General features: G+C 44.4%; 1 protein-coding gene across 3 annotated transcripts in view, besides 4 other annotated features; it reads left to right on the top strand.

The window, feature by feature from the left end:
- Positions 13,337-26,339, top strand: part of FAM177A1 (family with sequence similarity 177 member A1) — a 38,477-nt gene continuing 25,474 nt past the window's right edge. The window contains exons 1-4 of one of the 3 annotated variants that reach the window (NM_001079519.1): positions 13,337-13,624; positions 14,418-14,560; positions 14,935-15,058; positions 21,708-21,881. In NM_001079519.1, the coding sequence (NP_001072987.1) occupies positions 14,963-15,058; positions 21,708-21,881 (270 nt within the window). In that variant the 5' untranslated portion in view covers positions 13,337-13,624; positions 14,418-14,560; positions 14,935-14,962. Of the gene's footprint in view, positions 13,625-14,417; positions 14,561-14,701; positions 15,059-21,707; positions 21,882-26,339 lie in introns of those variants that run through there. The other 2 variants (NM_001289022.3, NM_173607.5) reach the window with 2 other exon arrangements.
- Positions 14,222-14,421: an enhancer, noted in NCBI's record as "active region_8260". NCBI's record gives its function as "activates an Ori minimal core promoter by ATAC-STARR-seq in GM12878 lymphoblastoid cells {active_cell/tissue: GM12878}" and the evidence as "EXISTENCE:reporter gene assay evidence [ECO:0000049][PMID:35858748]".
- Positions 14,542-14,891: a silencer, noted in NCBI's record as "silent region_5673". NCBI's record gives its function as "represses an Ori minimal core promoter by ATAC-STARR-seq in GM12878 lymphoblastoid cells {active_cell/tissue: GM12878}" and the evidence as "EXISTENCE:reporter gene assay evidence [ECO:0000049][PMID:35858748]".
- Positions 15,142-15,411: an enhancer, noted in NCBI's record as "active region_8261". NCBI's record gives its function as "activates an Ori minimal core promoter by ATAC-STARR-seq in GM12878 lymphoblastoid cells {active_cell/tissue: GM12878}" and the evidence as "EXISTENCE:reporter gene assay evidence [ECO:0000049][PMID:35858748]".
- Positions 15,512-15,571: an enhancer, noted in NCBI's record as "active region_8262". NCBI's record gives its function as "activates an Ori minimal core promoter by ATAC-STARR-seq in GM12878 lymphoblastoid cells {active_cell/tissue: GM12878}" and the evidence as "EXISTENCE:reporter gene assay evidence [ECO:0000049][PMID:35858748]".

A 26,339-nucleotide genomic window follows, 5' to 3' on the forward strand; every position in this document is an offset into this window, starting at 1 on the left:
AATAATTTATTAATATTATGCCTATTCATTATTGACATCAAGTAGATAATATATATGGTATAACAGTGTATTTTGAATTAGTGTGAACTGATCTTCAGCAAGTGATTGATTTGTAGAAGTAAGAATGAAAGAAACAGTTTTTATGGTGCTAATTTTTTATGACTCTTGTTTAAAAAAGATCTTGTCGCCAGTAATCCCAGCACTTTGGGAGGCCGAGGCGGGTGGATCATGAGTTCAGGAGTTCAAGACCAGCCCAGCCAACGTGGTGAAACCCCGTGTCTAATAAAAATAAAAATTAGCCGGGTGTGGTGGTGGGCACCTGGAATCCCAGCTACTTGAGAGGTTGAGGCAGTAGAGTTGCTTGAACCCGGGAGGCGGAGGTTGCAGTGAGCTGAGATCGGACCACTGCACTCCAGGCTGGGCAACAAAAATGTGAAAATTCATCTCAAAAAAAAGAATGCAATTGAGATATTCTTGTTAACTTGGGCAAAGGTTTTATATCCCTTTAAAAACTAAAATAAAAAGGTTTTAGCTAGTTTTTCTGCTAGCTAAAGACTAGAATAACCCTGTAGAAAATTATATACCATATTAAAATGATGTATCTTGTGTTCTGCAGAAATCTTACTAAGCTATAAACATTTGACAACAGAGAAAATCCTGTTCTCCAAAGTAGTTTCTTACTAACTGATGCATACTACCTTTTCTAGGTACACGTTTGTGACTCTATTCTCAGGGTATCAATTTTGCATTTTGACCAAAAAAGGAAATTGAAATCTTTGGCCATAATAACCTTGATGGCTTCAGGCATAGTTTTAAATATTTGTGTGTCTGACACAAACAATATTTTTTAATATATATATATATATTTTATATATTTTTCAGAAGCAAAAATAACAATAACAAGATAGGCACAGCGACAAGACATTGACACACACCTGTAGTACCAGCTACTTGTGAGGCTGAGGTGGGCAAATCAGTGAATTGCTTGAGTCCAGGAGTTGGTGGTCACAATGAACTATGATTATTTATGAATAGTCACTGCTGATGAATAGCCACTGCACTCCAGCCTTGGCAACATAGGGAGGCCTCATCTAAAAAACAACTGAATGCAGTAGCTCATGCCTGTAATCCCAGCACTTTGGGAGGCTGAGGTGGGCTGATCACTTGAGCCCAAGAGTTCCAGACCAGCCTGGGCAACATGGTGAAATTCCACTACAAAATACAGAAATTAGGCTGGGTGTGGTGGCTCATACCTGTAAAACCAGCACTTTGGGAGGCCAAGGCGGATGGGTCACCTGAGGTTAGGAGATTGAGACCAGCCTAGCCAATAAGGTGAAACCCTGATTTTACCAAAAATAGAAAAATTAGCTGGGCATGGTGGCCGGCACCTATAATCCCAGCTACTCAGGAGGCTGAGGCACGAGAATCACTTGAACCTGGGAGGCAGAAGTTGCAGTGAGCCAAGATCACACCACTGCACTCCAGCCTGGGTGACAGAGTGATACTCTAATATCTAAAAAATAATAATAATACAGAAACTAGCCTGGCATAGTGGTGTGCACCCATAGTCCCAGCTACTTTTGGGGCTAAGGCAGGAGGATCACTTGAGCCTAGGAGGTCAAGGCTGCAGTGAGCCAAAATTGCGCCACTGCACTCCAGCCTGGGTGACAGTGAGACCCTGTCTCTAAAAAGTAAGTAAATAAATAACTAAGAGAACAACTAAAGGTCTAGGATACTTTGTTCAGCTTCCCTTTATGTTTCTTTTTCTGCTAAAATGAGGAAATTGAAAATGTTCTTTAAAATTCTGATTCCATTAGGTCCTCAAATTGGCATTTTAGTTAACAAAAGCTGTCCTTCAGTTCTCACAGTTTTCATTGAAGTGATGTTTCACAGCATAAATACTATATACCTGTATTAATCTGTTTTGATGCTGCTGATAAAGACATACCCAAGACTGGATAATTTGTAATGAAAATGAGGTTTAATGGACTTACAGTTCCAGGTGGCTGAGGAGGCCTCACAATCACGGTGGAAGGCAAAAGGCACATCTTACATGGCGGCAAGAGAGAATGAGAACCAAGCAAAAGGGGTTTCCCCTTAAAAAACTATCAGTGCTCATGAGACTCATTCACTACTATGAGAACGGTATGGGGGAAACCGCCTCCATGATTCATTTATATACCACCAGGTCCACAGCCAAACCATATCATTCTGCCCCTGGTCCCTCCCAAATATCATGTCCTCACATTTCAAAACCAGTCATGCCTTCCCAACAGTCCCCCACAGTCTTAACTCATTTCAGCATTAACTCAAAAGTCCACAGTCCAAAGTCTCATCTGAGACAAGGCAAGTCCCTTCCACCTCTGAGCCTGTAAAATCAAAAGCAAATTAGTTACTTCCTAGATACAGTGGGGGTACAGGCATTGGGTAAATACAGCCATTGCAAATGGGAGAAATCGGCCAAAACAAAGGGGCTACAGGCCCCATGCAAGTCTGAAATCCAGTGGGGCAGTCAAATCTCAAGGCTCCAAAGTGATCTTTGCCTCCTTTGTCACACATCCATGTCACACTGATGTAAGAGGTGGGCTCCCACAGCCTTGGGCAGCTGTGCCCCTGTGGCCTTGCAGGGAACAGCCCCCCTCCCGGCTGCTTTCACAGGCTGGTGTTGTCTGTGGCTTTTCCAGGTGCACAGTGCAAGCAGTTGGTGGATCTACCATTCTGGCGTCTGGAGGATGGTGGCCCTTTTCTCACAGCTCCACTAAGTAGTGCCCCAGTAGGGACTCTGGGGGGCCTCCAACTCCACATTTCCCTTCTGCACTGCCCTAGCAGAGGTTCTCTGTGAGGGCCCTGCTCCTGCAGCAATCTCCTGCCTGGACATCCAAGCGTTTTCATATATCCTCTGAAATCTAGGTGCAGGTTCCCAAACCTCAGTTCTTGACTTGTGTGCGCTCACAGGCTCAACATCACGTGGAAGCTGCCAAGGCTTGGTACTTGCATCCTCTGAAGCCGTGGCCTGAGCTGTACCTTGGCACCCTTTAGCCATGGCTACAGTGGCTGGGACACAGGGCACCAGGTCCCAAGGCTGCACACAGCAGGGGGCCCTGAGCCCAGCCCACAAAACCATTTTTTCCTCCTAGGCCTCTGGGCCTGTTATAGGAGGGGCTGCTGCAAAGGTCTCTGACATGCCCTGGAAACATTTTCCCCACTGTCTTGGTGATTAACATTTGGCTCCTTTTTTTTTTTTAAGACAAGAGTTTCGCCCTTGTTGCCCAGGCTGGAGTGCAATGGCACAATCTCGGCTCACCGCAACCTCTGTCTCCTGGGTTCAAGTGATTCTCCTACCTCAGCCTCCTGAGTAGCTGGGATTCCAGGCACATGCCACCACACCTGGCTAATTTTGTATTTTTAGTAGAGATGGAGTTTCTTCATGTTGGTCAGGCTGGTCTCAAACTCCCAACCTCAGGTGATCTGCCTGCCTAGATACAGTGGGGGTACAGGCGGCAAGAGAGAATGAGAACCAAACAAAAGGGGTTTCCCCTTAAAAAACCATCAGTTCTCATGAGACTCATTCACTACTATGAGAACAGTATGGGGGAAACCGCCTCCATGATTCATTTATGTACCACCAGGTCCACGGCCAAACCATATCATTCTGCCCCTGGTCCCTCCCAAATATCATGTCCTCACATTTCAAACCCAATCATGCCTTCCCAACAGTCCCCCACAGTCTTAACTCATTTCAGCATTAACTCAAAAGTCCACAGTCCAAAGTCTCATCTGGGATTACAGGCATGAGCCACCGCACCTGGCAGCTCCTCATTACTTACGCAAATTTCTGCAGCCAGCTTGAATTTCTCCTCAGAAAATGGGTTTTTCTTTTCTATCACATAGGCTGCAAATTTTCTGAACTTTTGTTCTGTTTCCCTTTTAAAATGGAATACTATTAACAGCACCCAAGTCACCTCTTGAATGGTTTGCTGCTTAGAAATTTCTTCCTCCAGAGGCTGGGTGCAGTGGCTCATGCCTGTAATCCCAGCACTTTGGGAGGCTGAGGCTGGCAGATCACAAGGTCAAGAGATCGAGACCATCCTGGCCAACATGGTGAAACCCCATCTCTACTAAAAATACAAAAATTAGCTGGGCATGGTGGCATGCGCCTGTAGTCCCAGCTATTTGGGAGGCTGAGGCAGGAGAATTGCTTGAACCCGGGAGGTGGAGGTTGCAGTGAGCTGAGATCATGCCACTGCACTCCAACTTGGGTAACAGAGCGAGACTCCATCACAAAAAAAAAGAAATTTCTTCTGCCAGATACCCTAAATCATCTCCCTCAAGTTCAAAGTTCCACAAATCTCCAGGGCAGAGGCAAAATGCTGCCAGTCTTTCTGCTAAAAGATAGCAAGAGTCACCTTTACTCCAGTTCCCAACAAATTCCTCATCTCCATCTGAGACCACCTCAGCCTGGATTTCATTGTCTATGTCATTATCAGCATTTTGGTCAAAGCCATTTAACAAATCTCTAGGAAGTTCCAAACTTACCTACATTTTCCTGTCTTATTCTGAGCCCTCCAAACTGTTCCAACCTCTGCCTGTTACCCAGTTCCAAAGTTGCTTACACATTTTTGGGTATCTTTACAGCAACACCCCACTCTACCAGTACCAATTTACTGTATTAGTCTGTTTTCATGCTGCTGATAAAGACATACCCAAGACTGGGTAATTTATAATGAAAAGGTTTAACTGACTTACAGTTCCATGTGGCTGGGGAGGCCTCACAATTATGGTGGAAGGCAAAAGGCACATCTTACATGGCGGTAGACAGGAGAAAATAAGAACCAAGCAAAAGGGGTTTCCCCTTATAAAACCATCGGCTCTCATGAGACTTATTTGCTACCATGAGAACAGTGTGGGGTAAACTGCCCCCATGATTCAGTTACCTCCCACCAGGTCACTCCCACAACACGTGGGAATTATGGGAGCTACAATTCAAGATGAGATTTGGGTGGGGACACAGCCAAACCAAATACCAAAATTAAATCCTTTAATAATTTGAACACATTTCCATTTGTTTTTCACTAGTGTTAAAATTGACTCCATTTTTTTTATATACTCCCAACTTAGACCACTAGCTAGCTCTAATACTGTACAACATTGAATTCTTCCTGAATTTTATTATAATGTTAAATATATGTAACCATAAAACTAGGTGTAGCTTCCCTAAGCTTACAGTACTCATGTAATTACAAGACAACAACAGATTGAGAAATTAAATATCACAAACTACAAAATGAAGAAAGGGGAAATTAATGATTTTTTATTTATTAATTTTTTTCTTTTGAGACAGGGTCTTTGCTCTGTCACCCAGGGTGGAGTGCAGTGGTGCAGTCATGGCTCACTGCAACCTTGACCTGGGCTTAGGCAATCCTCCCACCTCAGTCTCCTGAGTAGTTGGGACTATCAGAGTGTGCCACAACACTCAGCTAATTTTTTATTTTATTTCATTTATTTTTTGAGAGGGAGTTTTACTCTGTCACCCAGGTTGGAGTGCAGAGACATGATGTCAGCTCATTGCAACCTCCACCTCCTGGGTTCAAGCAATTCTCCTGCCTCAGCTTCCCAAGTCTGGGACCACAGGCATGTGCCCAGCTAATTTTTGTATTTTTAGTAGACATGGGTGATTCACGCCTGTAATCCCAGCACTTTGGGAGGCTGAAGCGGGCAGATTACTGAGGTCAGGAGATCAAGACCAGCCTGGCCAACACAGTGAAACCCTGTCTCTACTAAAAATACAAAAATTAGCCAGGTGTGGTGGCATGCGCCTGTAGTCCCAGGTACTTGGGAGGCTGAGGCAGGAGAATTGCTTGAACCTGGAAAGTGGAGGTTGTGGTGAGCCAAGACTGTGCCACTGCACTCCAGCCTGGGGGACACAGTGAGACTCTGTCTCAAAAAAAATAAAAAAATAAAAATAAAAAGAGAGATGGGTTTTCACCATGTTGGCCAGGCTGGTCTCAAACTCCTGACCTCAAGTGATCCACCTGCCTCGGCCTCCCAGAATGCTAGGATTACAGGCGTGACCCACTGTGCCCAGCCAATTTTTAAATTTTTTGTGGAGACAAGGTCTCACTGTGTTACCCAGGCTGGTCTTGAACTCCCGGGCTCAAGTGATCCTCCTGCCTTGGCCTCCCAGAAGTGCTGGCATTACAGGCGTAAGCTACGCTGCCCAGACAGAAATTAATGATTTAAATGTGATAGATGTCAGTGTTCTGAAAGTATCATATTTAATGGTATATAAGATACAAAGGTATGTATATGCCCAGTGCGTCACAATTTTCTGGAGAAATTTTTTAGAAAAAATTAAATTCTTTTTATCATGTAATGTGTGTTATATAAACCATTATTTTGTTAAAGTAAATACAGTATGTTACAATGTGAGAGTAAGTCCTAAGTTCTAATATGCAGTAATAATGTACTAATATTATTAGTAATGTGAAATATAGTACCACATAACTAAAAAGAAATATAATGTTATACATGAATACTGATAAACAGGTGGCAACAAAACCAGGAAATTTGCTGGAGCTAAAGCCCCATAATATGCATATTAATGTAACAGTAAAATTAATATGTTAGTATTTTAGTGAATTTAGGAAATCTAAACAGCAAATCATAATATAAAATAAATTTGAATGAATTTATTTTACAGGTAGCTCTGGTACATATACACATACAAGCAAATATTTCAGTAAAAAATGGAACAAAGTATTGAAAATTAAAATGTGAAGGAATTTCAACTTGATGCTTATGTAGAGTAAAATATTTTAGTATTTGAATACAGAGAGCAGCCAGAGAATTTGAATGAGGTCTAACAAAAACAACCATGTCAGTGAGAATCATGGTTAAATAACAATATAATTACTGATCCTCCTCAAGACTTACGAATAGAGCGCCGCCCGGGAGGCAGCGGCTGGAGGAGCGGACGGGCCCCGCGGGGCCCGAGGGCAAGGAGCAGCCGCCTGCCTTGGCCTCCCAAAGTGCCGAGATTGCAGCCTCTGCCCGGCCGCCACCCCGTCTGGGAAGTGAGGAGTGTCTCTGCCTGGCCGCCCATCGTCTGGGATGTGAGGAGCCCCTCTGCCTGGCTGCCCAGTCTGGAAAGTGAGGAGCGTCTCCGCCCGGCCGCCATCCCATCTAGGAAGTGAGGAGCGCCTCTTCCCAGCCGCCATCACATCTAGGAAGTGAGGAGCGTCTCTGCCCGGCCGCCCATCGTCTGAGATGTGGGGAGCGCCTCTGCCCCGCCGCCCCATCTGGGATGTGAGGAGCGCCTCTGCCCGGCCGAGACCCCGTCTGGGAGGTGAGGAGCGTCTCTGCCCGGCCGCCCCGTCTGAGAAGTGAGGAGACCCTCTGCCTGGCAACCGCCCCGTCTGAGAAGTGAGGAGCCTCTCCGCCCGGCAGCCACCCCGTCTGGGAAGTGAGGAGCGTCTCTGCCGGGCAGCCACCCCGTCCGGGAGGGAGGTGGGGGGGGTCAGCCCCCCACCTGGCCAGCCGCCCCATCCGGGAGGGAGGTGGGGGGTCAGCCCCCCCGCCCGGCCAGCCGTGCCGTCCGGGAGGGAGGTGGGGGGGTCAGCCCCCCGCCTGGCCAGCCGTGCCGTCCGGGAGGGAGGTGGGGGGGTCAGCCCCCCGCCCGGCTAGCCGCCCCGTCCGGGAGGTGAGGGGCACCTCTGCCCGGCCGCCCCTACTGGGAAGTGAGGAGCCCCTCTGCCCGGCCAGCCGCCCCGTCCGGGAGGGAGGTGGGGGGGGTCAGCCCCCCGCCCGGCCAGCCGCCCCGTCCGGGAGGGAGGTGGGGGGGTCGGCCCCCCGCCCGGCCAGCCGCCCCGTCCGGGAGGGAGGTGGGGGGGGGTCAGCCCCCCCGCCCAGCCAGCCGCCCTGTCCGGGAGGTGAGGGGCGCCTCTGCCCGGCCGCCCCTACTGGGAAGTGAGGAGCCCCTCTGCCCGGCCAGCCGCCCCGTCCGGGAGGGAGGTGGGGGGGTCGGCCCCCCGCCCGGCCAGCCGCCCCGTCCGGGAGGGAGGTGGGGGGGGGTCGGCCCCCCTGCCTGGCCAGCCGCCCCGTCCGGGAGGTGAGGGGCGCCTCTGCCCGGCCGCCCCTACTGGGAAGTGAGGAGCCCCTCTGCCCGGCCACCACCCCGTCTGGGAGGTGTGCCCAACAGCTCATTGAGAACGGGCCAGGATGACAATGGCGGCTTTGTGGAATAGAAAGGCGGGAAAGGTGGGGAAAAGATTGAGAAATCGGATGGTTGCCGTGTCTGTGTAGAAAGAAGTAGACATGGGAGACTTTTCATTTTGTTCTGCACTAAGAAAAATTCCTCTGCCTTGGGATCCTGTTGATCTGTGACCTTACCCCCAACCCTGTGCTCTCTGAAACATGTGCTGTGTCCACTCAGGGTTAAATGGATTAAGGGCGGTGCAAGATGTGCTTTGTTAAACAGATGCTTGAAGGCAGCATGCTCGTTAAGAGTCATCACCAATCCCTAATCTCAAGTAATCAGGGACACAAACACTGCGGAAGGCCGCAGGGTCCTCTGCCTAGGAAAACCAGAGACCTTTGTTCACTTGTTTATCTGCTGACCTTCCCTCCACTATTGTCCCATGACCCTGCCAAATCCCCCTCTGTGAGAAACACCCAAGAATTATCAATTAAAAAATAAATTTAAAAAAAAAATACAAAAAAAAAAAAAAAAAAAAAGACTTACGAATAGTTATTGATAAATGAATAGCTATTGGTAAAGCCAAGTAAATGATCATATTCAAAACCAGAAGGCCATCATCACAGCTCAAGTCTACATGATTTGATCTCTTTATCATTGTCATTCTTTGGATTCACTAGATTAGTCATCATCCTCAAAATTCTGCCCCAAGTTCTAATTACGTTCCAAACATTTAGGGGTTACATGAAGCTTGAACCTACTACCTTCTTTGCTTTTGAGCCATGAGTTGTAGGAATGATGAGTTTACACCTTACATGCTGGGGATTAATTTAAACTTTACCTCTAAGTCAGTTGGGTAGCCTTTGGCTTATTTTTGTAGCTAATTTTGTAGTTAATGGATGCACTGTGAATCTTGCTATGATAGTTTTCCTCCACACTTTGCCACTAGGGGTAGGTAGGTACTCAGTTTTCAGTAATTGCTTACCTAAGACCCTAAGCCCTATTTCTCTTGTACTGGCCTTTATCTGTAATATGGGCATATTTAATACAATATAATTTTTGGAGTTTTTTTGTTTGTTTGTTTGTTTGTTTTTTTGAGACGGAGTCTTGCTCTGTCGCCCAGGCTGGAGTGCAGTGGTGCCATCTCGGCTCACTGCAAGCTCCACCTCCCGAGTTCACGCCATTTTCCTGCCTCAGCCTCCCGAGTAGCTGGGACTACAGGCGCCCGCCACCATGCCCGGCTAATTTTTTGTATTTTTGGTAGAGACGGGGTTTCACCGTGTTAGCCAGAATGGTCTCGATCTCCTGACTTCGTGATCCACCCGCCTCGGCCTCCCAAAGTTCTGGGATTACAGGTGTGAGCCACCGCACCTGGCCAATTTTTGGAGTCTTTTAAAGTAAAAATATGTCTTGTAAGCTGGTAACTATGGTACATTTCCTTTTATTAATGTGGTGCTGACGGTCATATAGGTTCTTTTGAGTTTGGCATGCATATGCTACTTTTTGCAGTCCTTTCATTACATTTTTCTCTCTTCATTTGAAGAGCATGTTATATCTTTTAGCTTCACTTGGCTTAAAAGGTTCTCTCATTAGCCTAACACAGTGCATTGTTGGTACCACTTGGATCATAAGTGGAAAAACAGTCAAGAAATTGCACAGTAATACTTGTTTGTAAGAGGGATGATTCAGGTGAATCTGACACTAAGAAACTCCCCTACCTGAGGTCTGAGATTCCTCTGACATTGCTGTATATAGGCTTTTCCTTTGCAGCCTGTGACTGCGGACTATTTTTCTTAAGCAAGATATGCTAAAGTTTTGTGAGCCTTTTTCCAGAGAGAGGTCTCATATCTGCATCAAGTGAGAACATATAATGTCTGCATGTTTCCATATTTCAGGAATGTTTGCTTGTGTTTTATGCTTTTATATAGACAGGGAAACTTGTTCCTCAGTGACCCAAAAGAGGTGGGAATTGTTATTGGATATCATCATTGGCCCACGCTTTCTGACCTTGGGAAATCAATTAAGGGGTTCATAATCTCAATTCTGTCAGAATTGGTACAAGAAATAGCTGCATGTTTCTTGACATTCCACTTGGTAGGAAATAAGAATGTGAAACTCTTCAGTTGGTGTGTGTCCCTTGTTTTTTTGCAATTTCCTTCTTACTGTGTTAAAAAAAAGTATGATCTTGCTCTGAGAGGTGAGGCATTCTTAATCATGATCTTTAAAGATCAATAATATAATCCTTTCAAGGATTATGTCTTTATTATAATAAAGATAATTTGTCTTTAACAGAATCAATAATATAATCCCTTAAAGGATTATATCTTTGCTGGGCGCAGTGGCTCACACCTGTAATCCCAGCACTTTGGGTGGCCAAGGTGGAAGGATCACCAGGTCAGGAGTTCGAGACCAGTCTGGCCAACATAGTGAAACCCCATCTCTATTAAAAGTACAAAAAATAAGCTGGGTGTGGTGGTGTGCGCCTGTAATCCCAGCTACTCGGGAAGCTGAGGCAGGAGAATCACGTGAAGCCGGGAGGTGGAGGTTGCATTGAGCCAAGATCGTGCCATTGCACTCCAGCTCAGGTGACAGTGCAAGACTCTGTCTAAAAAAAAAAAGGATTATATCTTTATATTTGTTATAGATTCTTATCAGAAGACACTCAGGGTTCTACAGATTTTAGATGAAGATGCACAGCTCTCCAACATTAAAATTACTGAGTCTAGCATAGTGTGCAAAGAAAGCTAGTTATTTTATGCCTAATACCATACAGAAAATTCTAGGCCGGGCATGGTGGCTCACACCCGTAATTCCAGCACTTTGGAAGGCTGAGGCGGGTGGATCACTTGAGGCCAGGAGTTTGAGACCAGCCTGGCCAACATAGTGAAACCCCTTTCTGGGAAAATACAAAAATTAGCTGGGTGTGGTGATGTGTGCCTGTAGTCCCAGCTTGGGACCCGAGGTGGGAGGATGACTTGAGCCTAGGAGATCGAGGCTGCAGTAAACCAAGAGCACGCCACTGCAATCCAGCCTGGCTGACAGAGTGAGACTGTCTCAAAAAAAAAAAAAAGAAAATTTTGGTGATTGGATATCACTGGTATATTCTCACCACACACACACACACACACACAGACACACACACACACAAAATGACCAAATTTTAATTAACAAAACAAAACCTTACATAACATCAAATCTAAAAATTCACTTGGTATTTTCATCTGCTTCTTACATATAGAGCTTTAAAGCTTACTAAAAGACTTTTAAAAAGAAACATACTTTACTCATTTCCATCCCAATCTTTCCAAACAACATACTCACCTTTGGTGTGGAAATTTCTTGCCTTGCTAACACTTACTGGCCTAGTATTTTTTGACATTTTCATTCTCAGTGGGGCGGAATGGCTAAGTGTGTAGGTGGTGGAATCAGAATGCCTGGGTTTTAATCCCAGCTCTGCTGCTTACCAGCTGCGTCACTGGAGCAAGTTGCTTAACTTCTCTTTGTTTCCTCATCTATAACATGTTGGTAGTTACAGTAATACTTCAGAATTGTTGTGAGGAATAAGAGTTAATACAAAGAAAGCAAAGTACCTGGCATATTGTGCTCCATAAGTGAAACCACTACCATGATTTTAATAACTTATTCAGCCTGGGCAACATGGCAAAACCTCATCTCTACAAAAAATATAAAAATTAGCCAGGTGTGATGGTACACGCCAGCTACTCAGGAGGCTGAGGTGGGAGGATCGTCTGAGTCTGCAGTGAGCCATAATTGTGCCACTGCACTCCAGCCTGGGTGATACAGTAAGGCCCTGTCTCAAAAAAAAAAAAAAAATTTCTTTATGCTTAGACTGAACCTAAAATGCATTTTTATTTTTATCATCTTTTTTTCTTGTGCATTATTTTTGATGAAAATATATTGTCCTGTTTGATGGATAACTTAAAAAATTCTCTATCAAAGTATATATATGTAGCTATGTTAAAACCCTAAGAATGTCTTGTTTATTTGATGAACATTCCTGGTTATCAAATTTTATTCAGATTTATTTTCCCAGCCTTACGCAGAAATGGTTCAATCCAAATTTACCTTTTTAGCTCTATATGTATCATTAAATGATAAATTTAGACCACATTATGTTTTCAAGTAGATAAATTATCATAATACTTGAATTTATTTTTGTCATAGTGCTACGATACAATTTATGTTACAAAGTGAAAGAAGGAAAAATTTGGCACATTGCCTTGGTGCCTACTTTTGGTTGAGCTATAACAGTTTGGAAATAATGACAAAAATATAAATGTCCAAAATAAAACCATTAGAATTTCTATGCTTTTATGTTGCTTTGAGTTGTTGATTTGTTTTGTTTTTGTTTTTTTGAGACGGAGTCTCGCTCTGTCGCCCAGGCTGGAGTGCAGTGGCGCGGTCTCGGCTCACTGCAAGCTCCGCCTCCCGGGTTCACGCCATTCTCCTGCCCCAGCCTCCCGAGTAGCTGGGACTACAGGCGCCCGCCACCACGCCCGGCTAATTTTTTGTATTTTATAGTAGAGACGGGGTTTCACCGTGTTAGCCAGGATGGTCTCGATCTCCTGACCTCGTGATCCACCCGCCTCCGCCTCCCAAAGTGCTGGGATTACAGGCGTGAGCCACCGTGCCCAGCCCGAGTTGTTGATTTGTAATAAACTGCTCTTCAATTGGATATTTGTGTTAAAAATAACTTTTTAGGAAATACTTCCAGTTCACGTTAGAATGTAACTTGTACTTTGAATTTTCAGTAAACTAAGAAATACACATGTAAACTGTGAAAATATATTCTGCTTCGGCAATGAAAATTGTAATTTGAGGCCAGGCGTGGTGGCTCACGCCTGTAATCCCAGCACTTTGGGAGGCTGAGGTGGGTGGATCATCTGAGGTCGGAAGTTCGATACTAGCCTGGCCAACATGGTGAAACCCCGTCTCTACTAACAATACAAAAATTAGCCGGGCGTGGTAGTGCACAACTGTAATCCCAGCTACTTGGCAGGCTGAGGTGGGGGAATCGCTTGAACCCGGGAGGCGGATGTTGCAGTGCGCCAAGATTGCGCCATTGCACTCCAGCGTGGGTGAGACCCCATCTCAAAAAAAAAAAAAAAGAAAAAAAAGAAAAAGAAAATTGTAATTTGATATTTAATTGCCACTTTGGAAAATAAAATCATGCATTTATAAATATCCCACAAAGTTTTAGTAATAAAGATTGTTGATTGCCCTGCTTGCCAGTAAGAAGGAAGAGATTTTGAATACATATAATGCAGAACTGTGTTGTTTATGAATGCCAATTCATGAAGTCTTAACAATTGGTTCTTTATTTTTGTTTTCAATTTATGGCCGAGTTTGGTTTTGCTGTTTTGGACTGTCTCAACTCCCTGCTGATGCCACCATACAGAGTCAGATCAGGTACTAACTTGTTTACTTCAGCAGCAACCTAACTTGATTTTATTACCAGGATAGAGAGCAATATGGATTTCCAACTAGTTTTTAAGGCGTAGATGGTTTTCAAATGATTATTTGTTTTTTAAAGTTTTTGGTTTTGTTTTTAGGTTCCAGTTATACATAGAATAGGAAGTGTACAATAACATTAGGCAGAGGGTAAGGAGAAGAACTTTGGCACAGAAGAGAAAGGAATATTTAATATTTGGGCCTGCTGTTGCTATGATGAAAAACATTTACAAGGTCATACAACTTTAGGGAGCATTTCTGAATTGAGACTAGTATGAAAATGGAATTTAAAGTATCAAATGAAGCCTCCCATAGCCAAAATAATGTATGTTTTGGTTTTGCCCCCTACATATTTGTGAAAACTTTCATGCTAAAACAACAATATACCATTTACCTGCAGAACCTCAGACTTGTTTGATGTTGAAGTCATGCAGTAATTGCATGATTTTTTACTTTCGTTGAACATTGCGAAAGACGGAAAAAATCTGGGACGCCCCCTCTAACATACGCACACGACTTTAAGACACAGATAAAACATTCCTTACATTTGTCAAGATGGAAGCTTACTACTGCCCTTTGCTCTCCTTCAGGTCTTTTCACTTAACACTTTCTACAGTTATACTTAAGTATTTCAGACAAGAGTAAGCAAATATCACGCCTGGGGTTCTTCTTTCGAGGGTATTTTGGCTGGACTGTCACCCACGTTTGGAATGGAAAGTGCAGCACGAGCCGTACATTTTACATTTTTCAGCAACCACATCCCATCACTAGCCTTTGAAGTACAACGACACAGCTGTCTTCATTTTACAAGTGCAAAAACCGAGGTCCTGCGGGGTGACTGCCCCAGACGCCGCTGGTGACGGGCTGCGCCGAGGTCGAGACGCCAGGCTTCAGGTACACGTACCAGAAATGACGTCACAGGCGGTGCCAGGCGGGGATCCACGAGCTCTGGATGCTTGCTTGGCCGGAAGCGACGCCCCGCAAGGACCCGCCCCGCCCCGCCCCGCCCCGCGCGAGCCGGTAGTTGCGCCTCCCAGACTGCAGTTGGCCAGCTCTCGGGGTGCGGAGCCCGGCGGGCTAGGCGAGGCGCGGGCTGGCCCCGCCCCTCAGGCCGGCGAGTCCCCTTCTCAGAGACTTGGCTAGGCGCGGCGCGAGGCGGGCGCTGGGCGGGTGAGTCCCACTTCCCGACAGCCTGGCTCGGCCAGCGACTGGGCGGGGAGACCAAGGATGGAAGTGGGCTTACCGGCCATTACCCTCTTTCTCACCAGCGCCAGCAGCCCTGTGGTGGCGACGACGATGGACCAGGAGCCAGTGGGCGGTGTGGAACGAGGAGAAGCCGTCGCAGCCTCGGGAGCTGCGGCCGCCGCGGCATTCGGGGAATCTGCAGGGCAGGTAGGTGGGGCCGCCGAGGCTGACGTCCGGGGAGCCGAGCCGCCTCCTTGCCTTCTCCGCGGGCCGCTCTTTTAGCCTGCGCGGCCGTCCTCCGAGCAGGCCGCCCCAGCTTTGGAGTTCCTCCTCACTGCACCCCTGTTTCTGCTCACTGAGACCAGCTTGTGGGAAGGAGCGCCCCCCGCCTCACTCACCAACCCCTTGGCTGGCAGCACAGCAGACTCTGGGGCGGCCTCGGGTTCCTGGGGTGATAGTCCAGCTTCTGGTCTACCAGAGGAAGAAGAAAGGCGTGTCCCCCAAAGGCTGTCCTTGCAGTAGCTGGAAGCCAGGTGAGGGCGGCTTCAACCACTTCTCAGTCTCTTCTGGTGCGAGCGCCTGCCTGGGCATCTGCCCTTTGCTTGGCATATGCCAAACGTTTACCAGCTTTAATTCACTGGATCCTTACAGTAACCGCTCGAGGTGGGTGTTAGCCCCATTTCACCGCCGAGGCAACTAAGGCTCCGAGCTGCGCTGTCCAACATAAATAGAATGCAAGCTGCATTGAAAATTGTAATTTAAAATTTTCCAGTAGGCACGTTTTAAAAAAGTGAAACCGATATTAATTTTAATAGCATATCTTATTTAACCTAATTTATCAAAACAATTTCAACCTAAAATTACTATGAAAGTTATTAATGAAGTATTTGCATTCTCTTTTGGAGTCTTTTCTAAGTCTTTTAAATCCTGGGTGCATTTTACACGCATAGCATATCGCAGTTCTGGCTGACCACATTTCAAGTGCGCATTAGCCACATGTGGCTAGTGGTTACTGTATTGGACAGCGCTGGTTTAGAGAGTTAACGTTTCTTGCAACTTTTCAGTATTAGACAAAAAGACACTTTGGGAGGCCAAGGCGGGTGGATCACCTGAGGTCAGGAGTTCAAGACCAGTCTGGCCAACATGGTGAAACCCCTTCTCTACTAAAAATACAAAAATTAGCTGGGCGTGGTGGCGCTCGCCTGTAGTCCCAGCTACTCGGGAGGCTGAGGCAGGAGAATTGCTTGAACCCTGGAGGTGGAGGTTGCAGTGAGCCGAGATCACGCCACTGCACTCCAGGCTGGAGACAGAGCGAGACTCCGTCTCAAAACAGCAACAACAACAACAACAACAACAACAACAAAAAAAAAACCCTTGAGTTGCTCATGTATGTAACTCTTCCCATCCTCCATGAGAATGAAGCTTTTTCAGTAGCTTCATTTTTGAGACTAAGTACCTGAATGTTAGTAAGACATTTCCCCCAAACTGTGAGTATATCTCTGTGTATCTCTTATAGTATAAGATGTCGTTTGCATTAACAAAAGCTTATCCAGCCTGGGCAACAGAGCAAGAACCCATCTCTTAAATAAAAAACTAAAGAAACCCCAAAAACAAAAAACACAACTTTCCCACATACCAAACTCTATATGGAATACGTTTTTTCCCTCCTACTTAAGAAGGGGATTCAGGGGACAACATGAATTGATAAGGAAGCCACGTCATTTTCAGTTGAGTTGAGACCTATTGTTGGCAAGTGCACTTACACTTAACCTTTGAGTCCATGGTGCTTGATATGTTTTTCAATTTGATTTTTCCTGTTGTTACTAGAATTGTTTTTTTAAAATCACTACCTCCGCCCTGGATCTAATAGCAAAGTAAACACACGTGTACTTATATACCAGCTAAATGTTGTTTGAAGTGAGAGGCTCTTTGATTGGGGTTAGTGATATTCTGTTGTTTTCACATTCTTGGTTAACAAATAAGTACTTAACCAGTAAAGAAGGCTGTAGAACAAAAGATAAAAATTCACAGGAATACCCCACCACCACCCTTTCTTCATGTTCTCATTCCCCAAAGGTAACTATTAAGTTTTGGTGTAGTCTCTCTGGAATTTTATCATTCAATATTATATATTTCTTATATATTATATATATTATTAAATATTAAATATCTCTTCTTTCTTGTTAAACACCAATGAGTTCCATTTTCTGATTTGCCCTTTGTGCTTTCAGATTCACATTCCTGAATCAGAAACATCTTTGGGAACTCCAGTTCTATGCCCAGGGGGTTGAGCACAGTAACAGGGAAGTGGACATCTCAGGAGATGGAGAGGCCTCTATCTTACACTTCTTCCCAAGTTTGGCAGAACTGAGAAATCCCTAGTGCAATGTAGGGAAAGGGAGTAAGAGATAGGAGATAGGGTCTAGAATTAGGCCTCCAAACAGGCCATCCAGTACCTGTTGTGACATTCTTTTTTTTTTTTTTTTTAAGACGGAGTCTCACTCTGTGGCCCAGGCTGGAGTGCAGTGGCATGATCTTGGCTCACTGCAACCTCCACCTCCCGGGTTCACGCAATTCTCTTGCCTCAGCCTCCTGAGTAGCTAGGACTACAGGCGCACGCAACCACATCTGGCTAATTTTTGTATTTTTAGTAGAGGTGGGGTTTCACCATCTTGGTCAGGCTGGTCTTGAAGTCCTGACCTTGTGATCCACCTGCTGCCTTGGCCTCCCAAAGTGCTGGGATTACAGGTGTGAGCCACCGCACCCGGCCTCCTGTTGTGACATTCTATCCAGCAGCTTCTCTGAATAGACTTTTAACCAGAATCTCAGCCTCAATGTTTTTAAAGGAGTTAAAATTTCAGTACCACTCAGTGATTGATTTATTTGGTACCTCTGTTACCAAGCACTTACTATGTGCCAGGAACTCTAGGCTGAAAGATATAGCAGTACCTACCCCCATGTTGCTAATAGCCTAGTTGGGGAAGATGACAAAGAATAAATTCTAAGTCTAGTATGTGTTTTAAAGAAGTCTGGGTGCCATGGGAGTATATACAAAAAATTGCCATTAAAACCAGATCCTGAGCTGGGCAGAGTGGCTCACACCTATAATCCCAGCACTTTGGAAGGCTGAGGCCAGTGGATCACTTGAGGTCAGGAGTTCGAGACCAGCCTGGCCAACGTGATGAAACCCTCATCTCTACTAAAAATAGAAAAATTAGCTGGGCATTATGGCTCACGCCTGTAGTCCCAGCTACTCGGGAGGCTGAGGCAGGAGAATCGCTGAAACCCAGGAGGTAGAGGTTGCAGTGAGCCAAGATCGCACCACTGCATTCCAGCCTGGATGACAGAGCAAGACTCCTTTTCAAAAAAGAAAAAAACAGATCCTGAGAATAAAGATAAGCACATTTATAGTTTGGTTAACTATAAAATGGAGTAAAATGTTAATTGACATGGTACCTCATAATTTCCTGGTGTTATGAAACTATCTTTCAGATCTTTGGGGTTCGTTATGGAATTTGCATAATTGGCAGTGAAATTTTTCTTACTTGCAGATTTATAAAATGAAGCATTTGGAAAATTCACAGTGTAACTTTTTTTGTTTTTTGAGACAGAATCTCACTCTGTTGCCCAGGCTGAAGTTCATGGCGCGATCTCGGCTCGCTGCAACCTCCACCTCCCGGGTTCAAGCAATTCTCCTGCCTCAGCCTCCTGTGTAGCTGGGATTATAGGCACGCTCCACCGCGCCTGGCTAATTTTTGTATTTTTTTAGTAGAGGTGGGATTTCACCATGTTAGCCAGGGTGGTCTCACACCCTTGACCTCAAGTTGTCTGCCCGCCTCAGTCTCCCAAAGTGCTGGGGTTACAAGCATGAGCCACCATGCCCAGCCACAGTGTAAATTTTATTTGTAATTATTGGATTTCTGGTTCAAGTTGATGTTTGAAAAATAAAAAAAGAAAAATATTTTAAAAATATAATTATTGGGAATTTTGTATCAAATGATTTTCTGGTTGGTTTTACCTGTTAGTGCTTCCTTCATTGCCCCCCACCCCGCCTCCCAAATAGAGGTTGGAATCATTATCCCTCATCTGAAATACTCTAAAATCTGAAGCTTTTTGAGCACTGACATTCCTTCCTTTGCCTGTGTCATAGAAGGAAAAAATTAAGCCAATGAGAGATTGCTAGAGGTAGCAGTGAGAAGCCTCTACTGTCTTGGGGGTGGGATAGGGTGGGGCATGGTGGTATACTGTGAAGGATCTGAGCTCTCTATTCACTGACTGGAGCTGTTGCATTGACATTAGATCCATCCAGTTAGTAGGATGACTGGAGATCTAACTTAGCTCATCTGTCTTTCCTTTGCATAGGAAATTAAGGGATCCAAAAAGCTGAGTCATGGTCCAAAAGGAAACGTTGATGTCAGGACAGCCATAGCCAAATTTTATCTCAAGGGTAAACATGAGACTGGGTAGGGATGGCTGTCAGTGCCTGGGGATTGGTGGGGCTTGGGGGTAGGTAGAAGAAAAGTGTCCTGGGTTAACTACTTGTTTATTTTTTTCATGGACACAATAAATGACCTGATCTTTCCTTGTTAAGGGCTGGGATTTATTTGAACCCTCAGGACAGGCTAGAAAGAATTGTGACTTTTTTTCATGTTAATACATAGGTAGCCTATGTTACCAAATTTTATTTTTTAAGATAGTTTATTATTTTTATTTTTTGAGATGGAGTCTCGCTGTGTGACCCAGACTGGAGTGCAGTGGCACGATCTCAGCTCACTGCAACCGCCACCTCCCGGGTTTAAGTGATTCTCATTCCTCAGCTTCCCGAGTAGCTGGGACTACAGGTGCGTGCCACCACGCCCAGCTAATTTTTGTTTTTTTAGTGGAGACAGGGTTTCACCATGTTGGCCGGGCTGGTCTCCAACTCCTGACATCAGGTTATCTTGCCTTGGCCCCCCAAATTGCTGCCATTATAGGCCTGAGCCACAGCACCCAGCCTTATTTTTATTTTTTTGAGACAGTCTGGCTCTGTTGCCCAGGCTTGAGTGCAGTGGTGCGATCTCGGCTCACTGCAACATCCACCTCCTGGGTTCAAGTGATTCTCATGCCTCAGCCTCCCAAGTAGCTGAAATTACATACGTGTACCACCATGCCTAGCTGATTTTTGTATTTTTAGTAAAGTTGGGGTTTTGCCATGTTGGCCAGCCTGGTCTCGAACTCCTCACCTCATGTGATCCTCCTGCCTCAGCCTCCCAAAGTGCTAGGATTACAGGTATGAGCCACCACGGCTGGCCTGTTACCAAATTTTCATGATCTGCAGTTCAAATCCTGGCTAATGACTAAACTTACCTTTGGGAGGTAAAAGGCAGAGAAGAATCATATCTGTTTTCTAAGAAGGACCTTAGAAGATTAAGATGAAACAATGTATAAAAACAAAGTAGCTTATACTTGCATAACTGGGCAGTTCACTGTTTTTATCAGTATAATCCTTTTTTTGCAATAGCAATTCAAAGAGCTTTTCCAGTGGTTGAACAGCAGTCATGGGTTTAAATTATGTTTGCTTATAACCACAAGAATCTTTATAGAGAACAAAATGTTTGTACTCTGGACTATCCTAGAGAATTCTACGAACATAGACTGTAATCATGACATTACTGTAGTCCTGTATATGCAAAAAGAATAAAAGCCCTCCTTTGACTACTCCCTTGCCTTCTGCTTCTCCCCCATCTTAGTTTCTACCCATGGGGTAACCACTGTTGCCAGATTTTTCTTCACAATTGTATGTACTGTACCTTTTTGAAATCTGGAAGTTTAAACTTCAGGCAGTTTTCTTTTTTTTTTTCCGAGATGGAGTCTTGCTCTGTTGCCCAGACTGGAGTGCAGTGGCGCGCCTTCCAGGTTCATGCCATTCTTCTGCCTCAGCCTCCCGAGTAGTTGGGACTACAGGCACCCGCTGCTGCGCCCAGCTAATTTTTTATATTTTTAGTAGAGACAGGGTTTCACCGTGGTCTCGATCTCCTGACCTTGTGATCCGCCTGCCTCGGCCTCCCAAAATGCTGGGATTACAGGTATGAGCCCGCGCCTGGCCCAACTTCAGGCAGTTTTATTAGGAGTTTAAACTTGAGGCAAGAGGACAATGAAAAGAAGCTCTTCACCATCTCCCACTATATATATAGATATATATAGTGTAAATATATAGGAGTAAAATTTGTATTAGAATTCCAGCTCAGGCACAGTGACGTATGCCTGTAATCCTAAAACTTTGGGAGGCTGAAGTGGGAGGATTGCTTAAGGCCAGTAGTTGGAGACCAACCTGGGCAACATAGCCAGACACTGTCCCTATAGAAAAAAAAATTAGCCAAGTGTGGTGGCATGCTCCTATAGTCCCAGGTACTCAGGAGGTGGACACAGAAGGATCACTTGAGGCCAGGAATTTGAGATTGCAGTGAGCCGTGATTGCACTACTGCTCTCCAGCCTAGGCAACAGCCAGACCCTGTCTGGGGGAAAAAAAAATTCCATAGACTACTAAAGTTTAAGAACTTGTGAAATCTTTTTACTATCAGAAATCTCTTTTGTTACATATGTATTACTGGCCAAGACATCTGGAAGTTCAGAGATACAATGCTGATAATCTGCTTTCCAGATTTGGTTTACAAATGGTGGGTTTTATTTGGTCTGCCATAGTCTTGACACTGTACTCCAGCCTGAGCAATAGAGTGAGACCATGTCTCAGAACAAACCAAAACTGCTTAAAGATTTATTTCTTTACTACAATAAACCTACCAAAAGTTTTTCACGTGTAATGAAAGAAAATTAATCTCACTTGAAACTCATTTTCTTAAAATATCGTTGATATAGATGAGTAACGAAAGAGGCTTTGAAAATGTAGAACTGGGAGTCATAGGAAAAAAGAAGAAAGTCCCAAGGAGAGTCATCCACTTTGTTAGTGGTGAAACAATGGAAGAATATAGCACAGATGAAGACGAAGTTGATGGCCTGGAGAAGAAAGATGTTTTGCCTACTGTTGATCCGGTAGGTTTGATATTGATGATTCTTTCCTCAGTGGGCTTTGTTTTGATTTATTTTTTTTCCCTAAACATTGAGTGGAAGGGACCTTTTGAGGTTTAAATCAACTATATTCTTATTATAAAATTATGTATGGTGATTTTGATAGAAAATAATATTTTTACATGATATGGACGGAAATATTTCCAGCATTTCAGTAGCCTGAAACAGCTTGTTTTTCAGTGTCAGAGTACTGTGTTAGTATGGATAGATTTAAGATTGATCAGCCAGGCGCGGTGGCTCACACCTGTAATCCCAGCACTTTGGGAAGCTGAGGTGGGTGGATCACCTGAGGTCAGGAGTTTGAGAACAGCCTGGCCAACATGGCAAAACGCCATCTCTACTAAAAATACAAAAAATTAGCTGGACGTATTGGTGGACACCTGTAATCCCAGCTACTTGGGAGGCTGAGGCAGGAGAATTGCTTGAATCTGGGAGGTGGAGGTTGCGGTGAACCAAGGTTATGCCATTGCACTCCAGCCTCGGGGACAGAGCGAGACTCTGTCTCAAAAAAAAGATTTATCTTACTAAATTGAGTGCTTGAATCCCAGTTCCTTTGATTTAAGGACTGTACTGCCATGATAGTTTCCACCCAAAACTTAGGGAGTTGTCAGCTTTTTAAAATACTGCCTCAACAGGAGAATGGCATGAACCCGGGAGGCAGAGCTTGCAGTGAGCCGAGATCGCGCCACTGCACTACAGCCTGGGCAACAGAGTGAGACTCCATCTCAAAAACAAAACAAAACAAAACAAAAGTTTGCTTCAAGTTTTGATTGGAAGATAAGAATATACATTTCTGAACTTTGTGTGCCTTATCAACTAACTTGGAGAATTTCTAAATTATACAAGATGTGACTGTACAATTATGAGACTAGCTATATATTTATAAAGAAATTTTTATTTATTTATAAAGAAATGCCCTTCAAGTAATTATTTTGAGAGTCCAGGTAATCACATATTTACTGACTTTCTAACAGGTACTATTTTAGGTGCCGGTGATATAGCAGTGGGTGATATAAATTTCTGCTCTCATATACTAGTGAGAAGACAGGCAATAAATAAATATATACTATAATTATCAGGCTATGAAAAGTGCTATAAAGAAAATTAAGCATAGTTACAGAATAGAGAATTGTTTATATTTGATTTTAAAAATGTTACTCCTTTTCATCAGATTTGGCTTTAAATATTTGGCTATTAGAAAATCATGCCAGGTGTGGTGGCTGACACCTGTAATCCCAGCGCTTTGGGAGGTCGAGGCAGGCAGATCACCTGAGGTCGGGAGTTCAAGACCAGCCTGACCAACATGGAGAAACCCCATCTCTACTAAAAATACAAAAAAATTAGCCAGGCATGGTGGTGCATGCCTGTAATCCCAGCTACCCAGGAGGCTGAGGCAGGAGAATCGCTTGAACCCAGGAGGCGAAGGTTGCGGTGGGCCAAGATCGTGCCATTGCACTCCAGCCTGGGCAATAAGAGCGAAACTTGGTCTCAAAAAATAAAAAAATAAAAAATAAAATAAAAAATGATAAGCAGGCCAGGAGCAATGGTTCACGCCTATAATCGCAGCACTTTGGGAGGCCGAGGTGGGTGGATCACCTGAGGTCAGGAGTTCGAGACCAGCCTGGCCAACATGGTGAAACTCTGTCTCTACTAAAAATACAAAAAATTAGGCAGGCGTGATGGCAGGCGCCTGTAATCCCAGCTACTCAGGAGGCTGAGGCAGGAGAATTGCTTCAACCCGGGAAGCAGAGGTTGCAGTGAGCCGAGATCGTGCCATTGTACTCCAGCCTGGTCAACAAGGGTGAAACTCCATCTAAAAAAAAAAAAAAAATCGGATATTCTACACAGAAAATATTCAAAGATTGTACCATATACTTTGAAGGTAGTTCCAAATGCAGGTAGAATATTAGGGGTACATAACTAGGACTAGAATTGCTGGGTCATGCAATAACTGTTTTTTTTTTTTTTTTGAGACAGGGTCTGTCACTCAGGCTGGAGTTCAGTGGCACAATCTTGGCTCACTGAAGCCTCTGCCTCCTGGGTTTAAGCGATTCTCGTGCCTCAGCCTCCCAAGTAGCTGGGATTGCAGGCATACACCTCCACGCCCGGCTAATTTTTGTATTTTTTTTAGTAGAGATGCAGTTTCACCATGTTGGTTAAGCTGGTCTCGAGCTCCTGCCTCAGCCTCCCAAAGTGCTGGGATTACAGGCATGAGCCACCACACACAGCCCTAAGTCTATGTTTAGATGTCTGGGGAACTGCCTGACTGTTTTCCAAAGTGGCTGCACTATTTTAAATTCCTACCAGCAGTGTGTAAGGATAATGATTTCTCCACATATTCAGCATCACTTGTTACTATGTGTCTTTTTATTTTTTTGTTCTCTTGTGCCTTTGCTATGTATCTTCTTGATTTTAGCAACCCTAGTGAATATGTTATTTCATTGTCGTTTTGATTTACATTCCCTTGATGGTCAGTGATGTTGAGCATCCTTTCAGGTGCATATTGGCCATTTGTAATCTTCCTTTGCTTATTTTGATTAGGTTATTTATTTATTTTTATTTTTTGAGAGGGAGTCTGGCTCTGTCACCCAGACTGGAGTGCAGTGGCGTGATCTTAGCTTACTGCAACCTCTGCCTCCCTGGTTTAAGCAACTTTCCTGCCTCAGCCTCCTGAGTAGCTGGGACTACAGAAACGCACCACCACACCCAGCTAATTTTTGTATTTTTAGTAGAGACATGCTTTCACTATGTTGGCCAGGCTGGTCTTAAACTCCTGACCTCAAGTGATCTGCCCACCTCAGCTTCTCAAAGTGCTGGGATTACAGGCGTGAGCCACTGCGCCCAGGCAACTATTTTTTATTTTTTATTTTTTTATTTTTATTTTTTGAGATAGAGTCTCACTCTGTCACCCAGGCTAGAGTGCGGTGGTATGATCTTGGCTTACTGCAACCTCTGCCTCCTGGGTTCAAGCAATTCTCCTGCTTCAGCCTCCCAAGTAGCTGGGACTACAGGCACATGCCACAACGTCTGGCTAATTTTTTTTGTATTTTTAGTAGAGTTGGGGTTTCAACATGTTGGTCAGGCTGGTCTTGAATTCCTGACCTCAAATGATCCCCTGTCTCAGCCTCCCAAAGTGCTAGGATTACAGGTGTGAGCCAGCGCCTGGCCTTAATTATTTTTTGAATGTTCGGAAGACTTCAGCTGTGAAGCCTCCTTGGCTTTTCTTTGTGGGTAGTTTTTTTGATTACTAATTCAGTCTCTTTACTTGCTATAGGTCTATTAAGATTGTTCCTTTTTGAGTCAGTTGTGTATGAGTTTGTGTCTTTCTAGGAATTTGTCCATTTTATCTGTTATCTTATTTGTTGGCATACAGTAGTATTTCATTATGATTCTTTTTATTTTTCATAAGGTTGATTTTCCTGTTCATTTTGGATTCTAGTAATTTTGGGCATTTACTCTTTCTTTTTGGTCAATCTAGCTAAAGGTTTGCCAATTTTGTTGGTCTTTCACGAGAACCACCTTTTGGTTTCATGATTTTCTTTGTTGTTTTTCTGTTCTCTATTAATTTCTGCTCTTGCCTGTATTATTTCCTTCCTCTGTTTGCTTTAAGTGTAGTTTGTGTTTCATTTTCCAGTGTCCTAGGGCAGAAGTCTAGGTTATTGCTAGTTTCTTAATTGGGCATTTACGAATACAAGTTTCCCTTTAAGTACTGCCTTAGTTTTATTCCATAAATTTTTGTTGTTGTTCTTGTTGTTTACAAATGGGGTCCTGCTATATTGCCTAGGCTGGCTTCGAACTCATGGGCTCAAGCAATCCTCCTGCTTCAGCCTCACAAGTAGTAGGGTTTACAGATGTGCACCACCATGCCCAGCTTCCCATAAGTTTTTGTATGTTATACCTTCTTTTTTTTTTTGAGACGGAGTCTCACTCTGTCACCCAGGCTGGAGAGTGGCATGATCTTGGCTCACTGCAACCTCTGCCTCCTGGATTCAAGCAGTTCTCCTGCCTCAGCTTCCCGAGTAGTTGGGATTACAGGTGCACGCCACCATGCCAAATTAATTTTTTGTATTTTTAGTAGAGGCAGGGTTTCACCATGTTGGCCAGGCTGGTCTCAAACTCCTGACCTAGGTGATCTGCCCGCCTCGGCCTCCCAAAGTGCTGGGATTATAGGTGTGAGCCACTGCGCCCAGCCTATACCTTCATTTTTATTTAAAGTATTTTCTTTTTTTTCCTTTTGGTTTTCTTCCTTGACCCATTGGTTATTTAGAAGTACATTTTTTACTTCCCATGTATTTGTTTGTCTATTTTTTCTTTTATTGATTTCTGATTTCATGCCATTCTGATCAGAGAACATACTTTATATTATTTGACCCTTTAAATGTATTGACGTTTGTTTTATAGCCTGCCTAGCAGGTGGTCTGT

Source organism: Homo sapiens, chromosome 14 (genome assembly GCF_000001405.40).
Source record: "Homo sapiens chromosome 14, GRCh38.p14 Primary Assembly".
Classification (NCBI taxonomy): Eukaryota; Metazoa; Chordata; class Mammalia; order Primates; family Hominidae; genus Homo; species Homo sapiens.